The 14,930-nt window shown below is 39.5% G+C and overlaps 1 protein-coding gene across 6 annotated transcripts in view; it reads right to left on the bottom strand.

The window, feature by feature from the left end:
- Window positions 1–6,326: 6,326 nt before the first annotated feature.
- Window positions 6,327–14,930, bottom strand: part of OSTF1 (osteoclast stimulating factor 1) — a 58,752-nt gene continuing 50,148 nt past the window's right edge. For 4 of the 6 annotated variants that reach the window (XM_006717053.4, XM_011518524.3, NM_012383.5 and 1 more), the window contains 2 exons: window positions 12,660–12,758; window positions 6,327–6,909 (listed from right to left, as the gene is read on the bottom strand). In XM_006717053.4, coding sequence (XP_006717116.1) covers window positions 6,851–6,909; window positions 12,660–12,758 — 158 coding nt within the window. In that variant the 3' untranslated portion in view covers window positions 6,327–6,850. The remainder of the gene's footprint in view (window positions 6,910–12,659; window positions 12,759–14,930) is intronic. The other 2 variants (XM_011518525.4, XM_017014622.3) reach the window with 1 other exon arrangement.

Genomic DNA, 14,930 nt, shown 5'->3' with positions numbered 1-14,930 from the left:
ATTTTTAGTAGAGACGGGGTTTCTCCATGTTGGTCAGGCTGGTCTCCAACTCCCGACCTCAGGTGATCCGCCCGCCTCGGCCTCCCAAAGTCCTAGGATTACAGGCATGAGCCACCATGCCTGGCCTCAGAAGATAAAAGTTAAAAAAAAAAAAATAGTTGATTTAATCAGGCCCTTTCCATTCCCCTGTGTGTGGCTAAAATGGAATTAAAGAAAAGGAAGGAGGAGAGTGCTGAATATAGAGTACCTGGAAAATTGACTCAAGGAAAACATGCCCACAGTGGGAAAATGGTCTCACGCAGTAATACAATCTAGAAGGAAATACCCATGGCAACCATCTCAGACCCCTTGCTTCCAATTCCTCACTTGCTGGTCAGCTCTTGTACTGACTTATGTTTCTCATAGCAAGTCACTTCCAGGCCTCAGGCTCCAGCTATTAAAAAGGGGATGGGTGTAAGGCACTGGACTGGACATCTAAGGACTGTTTAAAGACAATATGGAAGAACAATTCTCATATGAGCAGTTATAGTTTTCCTGCTGAGATTTCCTAGCAAGGAATAATTGCTTAGTAGTTAGAACTAGCAGTAGCAGTTTCAGTTTCAACACCAGAGGAAAATAAATACATTAATAAATAGTAGTGGTAGTGGTAATAATTAATGAATTCACATAGCAGTATACAAGACACTATTGCTAACTAAAAATGAGAAATGGGGAGAGAGAGAGCTGATAAGGCATGATTTCCCATTTTCAAAAACAGAAGAAAGGCATTCACAAACGTCATACAGTATCTATATATGGTGGCTAAAACATAAACAGTCTGTGAAATGCAATGGCTCATAGAAGAGCAAGACTCCCAGCATTGCCCAGAGCAGGTCTAAAGATCCAGTGAACACCTCCACCACACCAGACCACACTCACATACTCAGCTGTGCCCTCAAGTGCTCTTTCATCCTGAGACCAACCACCTGAGCCCCAGATCTGAGATTAAGCACAGGGGTTTGTCACGCGTTCTGATGCAGATGAGGCGTACCACACCCTGGAAAGTTGACACAACCACCACAGAGGGTTAAGCTGTGACCCGAAGCTCAAAAATCAGGTCCTGGTCGAAGACCTCTAAGAAACTGATGCAGCAATGATAACTTGCTTCACACAAGGAGGAGCTGGTATCACCTGATCCTAATTTTGGGCATATCATGTGGACCAAGGGACCTGGTCAATGTCACAGGCTCAGGATGACAGAGGACTGCATGCCAGCTTTCCCTGAACCCTGCTGTCAGGGTGGCATGCCCTCTCTGAGAGCTTTCAGGGCCATGAATCTCTCCAAAGCCATTTCTAGTTTCAGTCAATGACCAGCTTTGTGTGACTCTTCAAGCCAACCTGTGTCCAAACAGGCATCACATCCACATCTCATACTCACTGTTGGCATGAAGCATTTTCTTGTGGCCTCAGGAATTCACCTTCTGAAATGGGTAATAACAAAATATGCAATTTAGTTCTTTTTTGTTCACCTTGTTCAAAGTTAATATGATTGTATGATACTTTAAAGTGTCTTCAATTCTCTTTTTGTCATTGAAGCTGTGAGACTAAATTCTTGAAGTTTAGACTTTATAGGGGAACCTATGAAGGTGCAAAGTCTATTCATTTGAATAATAGTATTGTCTGAATTTTGAAGTCATGTAAGAGCAGGATAGTAACACCAAACACCTTTCTGATTTCAAATCATCATGTATCAAACATCAGACCCACGGTCTATCAAGCCCATCAAACCACTTGAAAGCAACAGGATAAAACTGAAACAGTGGCAGAGACAATCTCCCTACTTCATCTTTGAATTACTGTAACAGTAATAACCAGGTCTTTTCCAGTTATATATCTCTTCTCTGTAACTCAAATAAAGTACATTTATATTGAAAAACTCGGCCGGGCACAGTGGCTCACGCCTGTAATCCCAGCACTTTGGGAGGCCAAGGCGGGTGGATAACTTGAGGTCAGGAGTTCGAGACCAGCCTGACTAACATGGTGAAACCCTGTCTCTACTAAAAATACAAAACTTAGCCAGGCGTGATGGTGCACACCTGTAGTCCTGGCTACTCGGGAGGCTGAGGCAGGAGAATTGCTTGAACCTGGGAGGCGGAAGTTGCAGTGAGCTGAGATCGCATCACTGCAGTCCAGCCTAGCAACAGAATAAGACTCCATCTCAAAAAAAAAAAAAAAAAAAGAAGAAGAAAAAGAAAAACTCTACTACCACATATGAAGAAACCTAAATGACTGGAAGGCAACATCATTGTCCTCCACTCATTTTTAAAGTATTTTAGGAAATTCTGCTCTTCAATATTGGTGGTGAAACTGAAAAACGTGTTGACACACTCCTTTGTATAACACACATATCTGGTTTTAATGCAGACTTCCCTGTTCATGGTTATACCCAACATTAACTGAGCAACTGCTCAGTAGTAGAGTTTTTCAGGAACTAAGTCATTTGCATATATGATTTTATTTAATCCTTCTAACTCTAGGCAGTAGATACTACCACTTCCTCCACTGCACAGCTAGGGAATCTGGGTGTTTAGGTAACCTGTCGCAGGTCACTCAGCAGAATCAGGCTTGAATCCAGACAGTGTGATTCCAAAGCCCATACCCCTCACCACTTCTCGAAGCATTCTACTAATTTCTGTCAGAACTATGGGTCATTTAGAAAAGGTAACCATTTTTCCTTTGAGGCTCAGCCTCTTCACTCCTTGTCTATTCCTTCCACTTTCCTTCCTGCTTCCTGTCAGGCTGTCTAATGTATACCTTTGGATTTCCTCAGTGTTCTTTTCCGGGCACCGCGAGGAACCTGGCCTCCCTGTGGCTCCCAGTTGCCCACAGGGCTGAGCCTGCTGGGAAACCCAAGCCGCTGGCCACTGGCGACAGACACAGCAGCACTGCCTGGGAATTGTGAAGTTACTTACCTCCATGTACACATCGAGCTCCCAGACTCAGGTAAGACCACATCCCCTGACCCTTCCAAGGGATGCATTTATTTTCATGGTTACACAGAAGTGAGGAGCTCTCAGACTCTCTGAGAGAACTGCTGAACTTAGCAATGTAAACTCAAAGCAAAATGAATAGGTGCTGATCTAAGCTTTCCTTCTCTTATACTTACTCATACTCTAATGTGTACAGAGTAGGAAATTTTGGAAACTTGGGAGTAAAACCTGCTTCATTAAATATTTCTTTAGGGTTACTGGGAACTAAAAGTTTGGTGAAAATTTCTCTGGAAGCGCTTAGGGTCATTTTAAATAAATTATGAATTGATTAGCAGATATGCTGAATTTGTTAGATGCCTATATCAAGGGCTTCCGTTGGAAAGAAGCTGTCCTGTTTCTGCAGATTTTTCTGAGAGAATGTGAATGATGACATCTGACTGTTGCAGCAGGCAATAGCGCGTGGGTTCCCCAGACCCGTGTGTCCACCTTCAACCAGTTCCTTCACTTCTTCAAACCTCAGCGTCTCTGTAAAAAGTTGGGGCATTAACATTCCTCGCCTAAGGTTACTGCAAAGATCAAATGACATCATGTCTGTGAAAATGTCTCGCACAGGCACTGGAAGAGTAGACATTTCATAAATGGTAGTTTTATTTAATTTCATGTCATTTTAAGGGAGGGGCAGATGTAAAAGCTTGTTATTGAGAAATAAGGAAACAGAAGCCACAAATTTGTGGTCTGCAATTTTTCCTTCACATGAGAAAACTGTTCACCAAAGCTATATTTGCAAACAGGAATACCAGAATCTTTTACAATATTTCTCCCACTAAAACCTCAACTTTTAGTAATTGGACACTTCAAAGTTTGGCTATACAATCTTTTCCTGCAATATACATATTTACAATATAAAAATCAAGACAAAAAATACACAGTCTGAGTCAATAGGGAAGGCAGATAATCAGATGTAAATGTTAGGTTCCACAGCCTATCAGAAAAGAAATCATCATTTACAAAGATGATAAATATAGTGCTCACAATAAGAAAATTAGTAAATCAGAAACTCTACACAATAAAAAACATTTATGAAGAAGGCTTATGTGGAAAAATTACATTTCCATCTTTAAAATTATCTGCAAATTACCTAAAATTTCGTTTTCAGCATTATTTCCTTTTTTTTTTTTTTTTTTTTTTTTTGAGATGGAGTCTGTCTCCATTGCCCAGGCTGGAGTGCAATGGCGCAATCTTCGTTCACTGCAACCTCCGCCTCCCGGGTTCAAGCGATTCTCCTGCCTTAGCCTCCCAAGTAGTTGGGATTACAGGCACCCGCCACCATGCCCAGCTAGTTTTTTTTTTTTTTTTTTTTTTTCCTAGTAGAGACAGGGTTTCACCATGTTGGCCAGGCTGGTCTCAAACTCCTGACCTCAGGTGATCCTCCCGCCTCGGCCTCCCAAAGTGCTGGGATTACAGGCGTGAGCCACCGTGCCTGGCCTATTTCCAGTTTTTTTTTTTTAAGATTAATAAAATGGAGTCGCCATTGCTTTGTTCAACATTTCCCTTTGAGTAATAACATAATTAATCTACTGAAAAGAGGAGCCATGGGGGCTTATAAAGAAATGCTGTAATACATGTCAGCCCAACAACAACAAAATGTGCAACAGAACAGCCCAGAAAGAAAACTGAAATGGGAACCTCTGATAAGAATTTTTCTTTGCATGAGGCTCCTGGGCCTACAACTAAACAAGTATCGCACTGCCCAAGTAGCTGGAAGGCATTTCCTATTTAAAGGGTGCAATCACTAGAAAGGAGTTCAGGCCACAGTGACTGTCAGCAAGCTCAGATTACAGCAAAACCTCTGAAGTTATTTCCAAAACATAATCAGAGCTCTCCTCTGCACAGTCAGAGCAGTGGCAAATTCCTAGAACTGATTTTTGTTGCTGAGTTCAGCACTAAACAATCTCTGAGAAAGCTCAGATTAGCCAGGCTGAATAAACAAGAAACAAACCAAAAAAATTTCCAGTGGAGTTTCAGCCACAACTAAATGAGTTGTCCTGTTTTACCAAAAATTCATGCACATAGCTAAGCACTCTCCTCATCTTCAAAAAAAAACTATAGTTGTCCAACTTTCTAAAATTCTCTTAAGTTTGATAATGTTAAAAACAATGATAGTGAGACCTCCACTATTCTTTCCCTCAGATATACAAATAATATATCTAAAGCAAGTACATGGTATTTTGATAAAAATTGTCTATAGCCACACAAGCTGTATTATTTCTGCCCATGTTTTAAAAATTAAGAGTCTTTAGTTGAAATCCATCCTAATTACCCCAGCCCAAAGTATAGAAGAACAAAAAGTTACAGGGTTCTCTAAAAGCTTTTTGTTAAGAAACAAGCCCCATTTTAAAGAAAAATCTTAAAGGATCTATAGGAATAGATACAATTTCAGGAAGAATTTCATATCTTCAAGTTTATGTTTAAGAAGAAATACAACTGGTTAAATCAAATTTAATAACGTATTTATTTTAAGAATAAAATGCCCTCTTTTGTTGGTGCCAGAATTTGTGTTCATACTTTGTTGTCACTAGTGGTACAGATTCTCTTCTACTAAAATTTAGTTGAGGGTGTTTGAAAGACCTCAAATGGGCTTCTCTGGGTATCGTTTCTCAAGGCTCCCACAGAGTGAAAAACCAAACAGTCACAGAATAAACTCTTATAGAGGCAGTTATTCATTTCCTGAGCTAACCCACTTCCTTCTTCATACATTTCCTTCTCTTCATCAACGTGTTTTTTGAAATTAGCATTGAAATCATCTTGCAAAATATACTTTTGGACCTAGGGCCGGGATTCTAGGCAAATTCCAATGGCCATGTCATTTTTACATCATCACTGTAGTGATACAAAATTAGAACGCCAAATGAAGTGTCATGTCAGTAGTACAGAAGGCTCCCTGCAATGCTAATTGTGTTTCAGCAAAAGAATCTGAATCATTATGAACTAGATCCATACTGTGAGAAAACAAATGTTATTAAAAAAACTGAATGCAAAAAATTTCATGGTTCCTGACTACTCCATATGGAAAAGTATGGCATCTATCATAAGGAAATAAATTTTTTTAACCTTTCAAATCTTAGCGAAACTGTAATGAGTTGTTGGGTTTCTCCACTCTAAATACAACCTTGGAGATAAAAACTGGAAGTCTCACAATTATTAAATTTACCTATTTTATTAGACATGCACCTTCTCAATGATTATTGTCCTGACTTTGATCAAAGCTAACACAAGAAGTTGAACTAAAATGTGGCTCTCATTATTCTTCTGTGCTAATAAATATAAAATATAATTTAAAAAATAAAATCAGTTCTTACCTAAATATAAAAAGCTTTACTTACTTAACGACAATGAGTGATACCACAGAAACGGACAAAAGAAATAAAGTCTCTCAAAATGTTTATTTTTGTCAGAATAGCTGACAATTTTCTGTTAAGTATTTTGGTTTATTATTATAATAAGCATTTCCCCCCCTTGAAAAATCCATTCAAAATATCTCAACCATTGAGGTAAAGCATTTTAACTAAAAAAAAAAAAAAAAAAAAAATCCTAATTTGTTTTTAAAGAAAAAAAAAAATCTTAAAATTCCTTTTGCTTGATAAATAGAAATAATATCTTCTTGTTCTACTTTGGTGAACATAAATGTGCCAAGAATCCAGTCACTTACTGGCAAACCAAAGGTGGGAACAATTCATTTACACGTTCTACTCAAACACAGTGCAACACTGCCGTGTTCATATATAATTTTCTTTATAGTTACCAACACTTTTCTGGCAAAGACAAAGTTTTGGAATGGCAAAAGCAACAGAAGTTTTAGATCTCAAAGCTCCAGAAAGGAATTAATCTGAGTCTTCATCATCGAGATAGTCCTCGGCATTGCTTAATGTTCGAACTGCATCTGAAAGAAAGAGGAGGGAAAAAAGCAAAATAGGGAAATTATAAACTGCTCAGATTTTATTTTTTCATTTTCAAAGCTCTTAAATTAGAATAGAATCTTCCATCTGACCCAGGGATTGTACTTTCCCTGAGGATCTTTCTCTGCTTTTGCTTTTCAGCCTAACCATTAAGTTTCTGTTGCCACAGAGGCTGATGATGCGTTCCACAGTCATGCAGAAGTTTTGGTCCTAGGTGCCATGCATCCATTTCCAACAGAAAGGCCTAGCCACAGGCACCATGACCAACATGATACACCACCAGCAGCACTCCACTCTGACAACTGAGCTTCCAACCTCCTCTCCCAGTGACAGCCTGAGGTCTTGCCTAAAGGCAAAGTCACTAGGTAGGACGTTAACTACCGAAGGGGAAAAAGGAAAAGAAAGAATGAAAACAAAGAAGCTTCCATTTCAATGTAGAAAACACCGACAATAAAGCAAAAGGCTGAAATGGGGGGGAAAAGTTTTAAAATAGAGCTGGACCCCATCAAATGTTCAAGCAAACTTGAACAGGACTCAAAAGGAAGACATCTGATCTTTCACAGTCACCCCTTCAACTGTCTAGTCAAATTCCTATAGCAACAGATTAGCCCAAGTATAATTTTAGTGGGAAAAACAGAATGCAAACACAAGCACATTGTTGAAGTTCAATAAATATATGTCACAGCACCCAGATCTTCATGATCTCTAAGTATCACATCTCTGAAGCTTATTATACATATGACCGGTTCCAAGTATGGGGCAGGAAGTGTAAGGGATGGACCTAGAACCCTAGTCATGTCATAAAGCAAGCATCCTAACAAAGACAGCATCACGTGAAAGGGTCTGAGATTCAACTTAAAGAGGCCTCCACTAGCCAAAGATGGGCTATTGATAAAGCTACTAATTGGAATGGATTAAAGCACATTAAATATTTCAAGGCACACCAAAAAGAACTCATCTGTCACCCTTTGGAGGATGACAGAGACCAGCTTATTATTTTAAAACCTCTTAAATAAAGGTCAAAAATCAAGCATTTATCCTGCCCTTGCTACATTAACTGTTCCTCTGCGTAACAAAACAATTGATGAGGGAAAACTTTTCCTAATAGAATGTTCCAGCTAATAACTCAAAAAGAAGTGATTTAATTAGAATATCATCATTTTGTGCCGTTTAGTGAAGTAACAGATCTAGGCAACGATCATCAATGGATGTCACATCACAGGAAGAGTGACAACCAGGTATCATGTGCCCCTGATAAAAGAACACAATATTCTATATGATTTATTATTCCTTCTACTACCAAGAAAGATACATGATTAGGTAGGTAGGTAGATAGGTAGGTAGGTGAAGAGATGGATAGATTGAACCTAAATTGGATCAAACCTCTGGCTAGCTAGCTAGATTTGATACATAGCTAGGTAGGTAGGTAAGTAGGTAGGTAGGTAAGTAGATGGATAGAACCTAAATTAGATCAAACCGATAGATAGATTAGATAGATAGATAGGTAGATAGATAGATAGATAGATAGGCAGGCAGATACATGATTGATTCATGATTGATTGATTGATAGAATGAACCTAAATTGGATCAAACCTCTAAATCTAACACTAATTGACAAAAACATAAAGGACAGAGGAACATGACAAATAACACCATGGGAATGCAGTTAGCAATGTCCACAATGGGAAATTCAAGTGAGTTGACCCAGTTTCTTTAATAAATAAATTGCAAGGTTAAAAAGGGGGAAGAAGAGAGGGAAAGGAACTATTGCTTAAAAAATAAATAAAGAGACATATCTACCAATCACAAACTGACCTTATGTGAATCCTGACTTAAATAAACCATAAGTAAATAAATAAGTAAAAACAAAGATGTATGAGAAAATGGAAGTTTGGACAAGGACAAGATATTTGATGATATTAAGGAATATTAAGGAATTATTTTTTAGGTATGCTAATGCTCTTTTAAAAAAAAAAGTTTTCATGTTTACATGTTTTGGAAAATGATTATTGAGAAAAAGAAAAGAAGAAGGGATGATCAGTACAAGGGAGGTGGAAGCCGATTTATCTTGCAAGAGAGAGAAGGAAAGATAAAGCAGAACAGAGGCCAAGTCTCTTTTCTGGATCTCATTCTGTCACCCAGGCTGCAGTGCAGTGGTACAATCATGGCTCACTGCAGCCTTGACTTTCTGGACTCAAGTGATCCTCCCACCTCAGCCTCCCAAGTAGCTAAGACTACAGGCATGCAGCACCACACTCAGCTAGTTTTTAATTTTTTTTGTAAAGACGTCATCTCACTATGTTGTCCAGGCTAGTCTTGAACTCCCAGATGCAAGCAATCCTCCCTGCCTCCCAAAGTGCTGGGATTACAGGTGTGAGCCGCCACACCTGGCCATGTTTCACTGACTTCACACCAGCCTTCAAGCTACTGGAAGTCTCCAGGTTGACTCTATTCTTCTCCACTCTCCTCAAGAGGAGTTCACAAGAAGTGGGAGGAATATATTTTGTTCTCCCCCAACACACACCCAGGACCTTCAGGACTTCATGTCAACTTGGTAAAATGTAGCTTTCTAAGCTAAAGCCTGAGAGACAAATAGGAAAACTCTGTCCCCTTCTACTCCACTATCCTAAGTTTTGCCCATATTCTGTGTCCTTGGATGGTTACTTCTGCTCTTTATTTTATTCTTACTTCTATTAAAAAGAGAGGATGATTTGCCACAGTGCAGACTCTGACTGAGTGGTCATCAAAAGACAGGCACAAGTCAGCAAATAAATTCCTTCTCCTTCTTTCCTTTCATGAACTGTTCTGAGGCAGTTTTCCCACATGGTCAGGTGTTGTGTGATGAGCCTGTATCTCTTCACAGCCCACCTCTGGGCATAGCACGCATAGGAATGTATCTTCCTGCAGCACTGCCATCCTTCCCTAGCTCACGTTCATTTTACCTCAGTCCCATCACCCTGGCTTTACATATCTCAAATCAAGAACCAGCACTTAAAACCAACCAACAAACATACAAACAATAAATAAATGATGGAGAAATAAACACAGGCATATGGATGACTCTCACAGACATAATGTAAATGAAAGAGGTCAGTCACAAAAAGTACATACTGTTTGATTCCATTTACATAAAGTTCACGAACGGGCAGAACTAATCTATGGTGAGAGAAGCAGAAGACACTGAGGGAGGCATGTGGCGTGTGGGAACTGTTCTCTAGCTTCATCTGGGTTGTGGTGAACAGGTGTAAAAAAAATTAATCAAGCTGTATGCTTAAGATTTATGTACTTACTTAATGTAAATTATACACAAATTTTTAAAAGTTGGAAAAAAATGTTAAAGGGCTCAACTCGAGTATAACCCCCAGCCCTATATCCTAGTTATCTTCCATAGTAACTGCAAAATGTGAATTTTTGTACTTATTAAAAAATCCACATTGTGCTTCTAAAAGTAGACAACAACTACCTTGGGAGGCCAAGGCAGGCAGATCGCTTGAGGTCAGGAGTTCGAGACCAGCCTGGACAAAAAAGGTGAAACCCCATCTCTGATAAAAATACAAAAATTAGCCGGGCATCGTGGCTCATGCCTGTAATCCCAGCTACTCAGGAGGCTGAGGCAGGAGAATCACTTGAGCCCGGGAGGCGGAGGTTGCAGTGAACTGAGATTGTGTCACTTCACTCCAGCCTGGGCAACAGAGTGAGACTCTGTCTCAAAAAAAAAAAAAAAGTGGACAACAATATCAGAATATACCTTTTCCAACTTAGAGTTCATGCTGACAATTAACTCTATGGCCAAATAGTCCAAACCTATTCCAATGAGGATCACAATACAAATTAACTGTATAATTGGGGAAATGAAGCAAGAAAAAACATTTTAAAAGTAACATGAAAATTGAAATATAAAAACTCATTTCTTGGCTCTGTCTGCCAGGCCCTAAGATTACCTCATTAATGAATCTATTACCTAATCAGTTCAAATTCAGGAAGGTAGACTAAACACACTTGGGGTGCACAGAGAAAAGAGTACCTGCCTCCCAGCCCTGTTCTACGAAGGCTGCAGAAAGGCTCATTACCTGCCTCCCTCAACTCAAACCACTCCTGAGTAAGGCTTCTGGGTAAGCTCTCTGAGGTCTAAGAAAGTTTGGTATATGCCTTGTCTATCAAAATGGAGCTCATAGCATGCATTAGACTCTGATACCTTCAGGTCATAAGAAGCCTTACTCTTCGGTCAGGACAGGCTAAGGGTAGCCACACAACAGGAAGTCAGTGGCAGAGAAAGGAAGTTAGGCCAGACTCCTACTTCCTGACCCAATCAAGGCAGCAAGGAGTAGGAGGTCGAACTCAAGCAGAAGTATGTCTCTCACACTATTGCAAATATGGCTTCTCAATCATAATGTAGCTGGGGAGCACCAGCTCAGCTGATACTTTCCCATTCCCTTAGTAGAACCCATCTCCATCTATCCATGAGGAATTACTTTAAAGAAAGGCTTGCACTCCCAGTGAGCTCTCATGGATTAATTAAGGAATACCAACTGATTAGCAGTTACACTATATTCAAACTGAAGTTAAAAAAAGAAAAGAAATCTGGAACAAAGACATATCTAGAATAAAGAACAAAAGGAGGCTGGGCACAGCGGCTCTCGCCTGTAATCCCAGTGCTTTGGGAGGCTGAGGCAGGAGGATGGCTTGAGTCCATGAGTTCGAGACCAACCTGGACAACATGGCAAGACCCCTATCTCTACATTAAAAAAAAAATTAGCTGGGCATGATGACACATGCCTGTAGTCCCATTTTCTCAGGAAGCTGAGATGGGAGGATCACGTGAGCCTAGGAGTTTGAGGCTGCAGTGAGCTATGATTGCACACCTGCACTCCAGGCTGAGCAACAGAGTAAGACTCCATCTAAAAAAATAATAATAATGTACATTTAAACTCTATTTTAAAAAACCACCCATAATACTATGAATAAAGTCCAGAAGATTTAGCAAAGTCTAGAATAAATTTGATTACAGTTTACTGATATCCTCATTTAAAACAGAAATAAAATATAATCATGGAGCTATTAAATGTTATTTTTAAAAATATTTAGTGGTAATCACTCATAAATACATATTTAAATGAGGGAATGAAGATGATCGTTCTCTGAAAAGGACTGTAATGGAAAGCAGGGTGATTAGAACTTAATTGCAAGGAATAAAAGAAACACACAATAAAGGTAAAAGATTATGTTTCTTGTCTAATTTCTGTTTAATTGAGGGTGTCCTATTTTGGGGGTTCTCATTAAGATCAAGGATATTGAAACAAACTTCAGAATCATCTGAAGAGTTTATCTTTTTTTTTTTTTTTTTTTTTTTTTTTGGTTTTCTTTTTTTGAGATATGGTCTTGCTCTCACCCAGGCTGGAATGCAGTGGTGCGATCACAGCTCACTGCAGCCTCAACCTCCCAGGGCTCAAGTGATCCCCCAGCTCAGCCTCCTGAGTAGCTGGGACTACAGGCCCACACCACAATGTCTGACTAATTTTTGGTACTTTTTGTAGAGACAGAGGTCTCACTTTATTGCTCAGGCTGGTCTCCAACTCCTGGGCTCAAGTGAACCTCCTGCCTTGGCCTCCCAAAGTGCTGGGATTACAGGTATAAGCCACTGCACTCAGCTGAGTTTATCTCTTTTGCGCCATTCTAAGTTAATAAATCTTAGTTATGGGGCACCAGAGGAGAAAGAAGAATTTAAAACAAATACCTGTTCCCTGTTTCTTTTTCAGGAGAGATGCACAGGCAGCATTGGTAGCCATGTCGAAGGCCAGCTTCTTCTCAATGTTTCTTAAGTCTGTTCTAGCACCTTCCCAACACAAGAAAAGTCAATTAGGTGTCTTTGAAGACTATATAGTAGTAGCCAATCCTCTCTCCCCACAGCTAACAACTTTTGGCAAAATAAACTAGTGAACAACTCTGGCTCAGAAGTAAACGTTCTCAAAACAATAAACTTTCTCATGCAGTATAATTTGGCATCTTTAATCGGGAAGCTTGTTGCTGCACCTGTGATAACAATTAATTCCGAACCTTTTGAGTCCCTATAGAATTGCATGTGAACTTTTCAGTGAGGAGTTTATGGTCCCTGTGGGGCTTGACTTCAATGAGCCCTTTGCTTCCTCTTTTGCTCAAGAGGGTCTTTAGAAAAGACCAAGTGGATAGTGCTTGAGGGGATTAATATTTTATATCTGTAAGTCTGCTCTCATGCAAATTAACAGAATAGCAACACGTAAAACCAAGAGGCAATTCATTATTCCCATAAGCCATCTTCTACCCACTTTTCCTTTGCCTTTATTGTGTTCAAAATTACATCAGAATTCATGAATACATTTGCATTGTTAAGGATTCAAAAATACAAATGTATGCTGAACAAAAGCACAAGTCCCATTTCATTCCTTCATCTTCTACCTACGCCTAAGGTAACCATTCTTAACAAGTGGGTGTGAGTTCTTATCTCCCTTATTTGCATCAGTGCATTCATACACATATTGATATAGACACAAAATCGTACTACACGTATTGGTCTGTGATTTCATGTTTTTAAAACTTTAATGTCTAATGGTACTGTTTTCTTAGCAAATACACATATTTGTAACTCAACCATTTAAGTATTCCATTTTGTGGTGCTCCAAAATTTAATTACTCCTGTATTGACGGGCACTTAGGCTACTCCTAATTTTCATTATCACAAATACTCCAGTGAACATCCTTGAACAACATCTTTGTTCACACGTATTTCTGAAGAATGGTTTACTAAAAATGGTATTGGAAAGTCAGGCTAAGTCCATTTTAAATTCTGACAGCTACTGTCAGATTGCTTTTCATACTAGTCTCTAATGATCCTCTGAATTTCTGTGGTATCAGTTGTAATACCTCCTTTTTCATCTCTGATTTTAAGATTGCTTTCCAAGAAGGCTTTAGGCCAAGCACGGTGGCTCACGCCTGTAATCCTGGCACTTTAGGAGGCCAAGGCGGGCAGATCATTTGAGGTCAGGAGTTCAAGACCAGCCTGACCAACATGGCCCATCTCTACTAAAAATACAAAAATTAGCCAAGTGTGGTGGCGCATGCCTGTAATCCCAGCTACTTGGGAGACTGAGGCATGAGAATCACTTGAATCCAGGAGGCGGAGACTGCAATGAGCCAAGATTGCGCCACTGCACTCCAACCTGGGCAATAGAGCCAGACAGTCTCAAAGAAAACCAAAAAAACAAAAAAAGAAGGCTTTGTCAGTTCATACTTTCTGCCACAGTGTAGGAAAGTATCATATTTTTTTTGCAACCACTTCCCCTTCAATAAACAAAAATAGGCCAGCACAGTAGCTCATCCGCCTGTAATCCCAGCACTTTGGGAGGCTGAGGCAGGCGGATCGCTTGTGTTCAGGAGTTTAAGACCAGACTGGGTAACATGGCGAAACTCCATCTCTACAAAAATTAGCCATGTGTGGTGGTGCACGTTTGTAATTTCAGCTATTCAGGAGGCTGAGGTGGGAGAATCACTTGAGCCCTGGAGGCGGAGGTTGCAATGAGCCGAGATCATGCCACTGCATTCCAGCCTGGGCAATAGAGACCCAGTTTCAAAAAAAAAAGAAAGAAAGAAAGAAAGAAAGAAAGAAGTGTCCCCAAATTTAAAGGCAAAGAAATATTGCATCAAGAAAAAAAATAGTATGTTTAATTAGTAATATAATGATCTTGTGTCAAAATCTTTCTCCTAAGCAGATCATTCTATTCACAGTAGGGTTATATAAAACCTCATTCTCTCAGTGTGCTACAGATCAAAAACTCCTGAGGGTTAACAGTTCTGTGACTAATCATATACTATATTATACTTTAGAGCTCATAGACATGATTTCTATCAGAACAGGAAATATTCAGAGACAGTGATGATAAAGAAGAAACACAACTATTTCCTGGGTCCCTTTAGATGAGCACTAATAGGAATATAATGTGATCCACATATATAATTTTTAATTTTCTAACAG

Source organism: Homo sapiens, chromosome 9, assembly GCF_000001405.40.
Source record: "Homo sapiens chromosome 9, GRCh38.p14 Primary Assembly".
Lineage (NCBI taxonomy): Eukaryota > Metazoa > Chordata > Mammalia > Primates > Hominidae > Homo > Homo sapiens.
The sequence above is the reverse complement of the archived record's forward strand: the minus strand, read 5'-3'. Positions and strand labels throughout refer to the sequence as shown.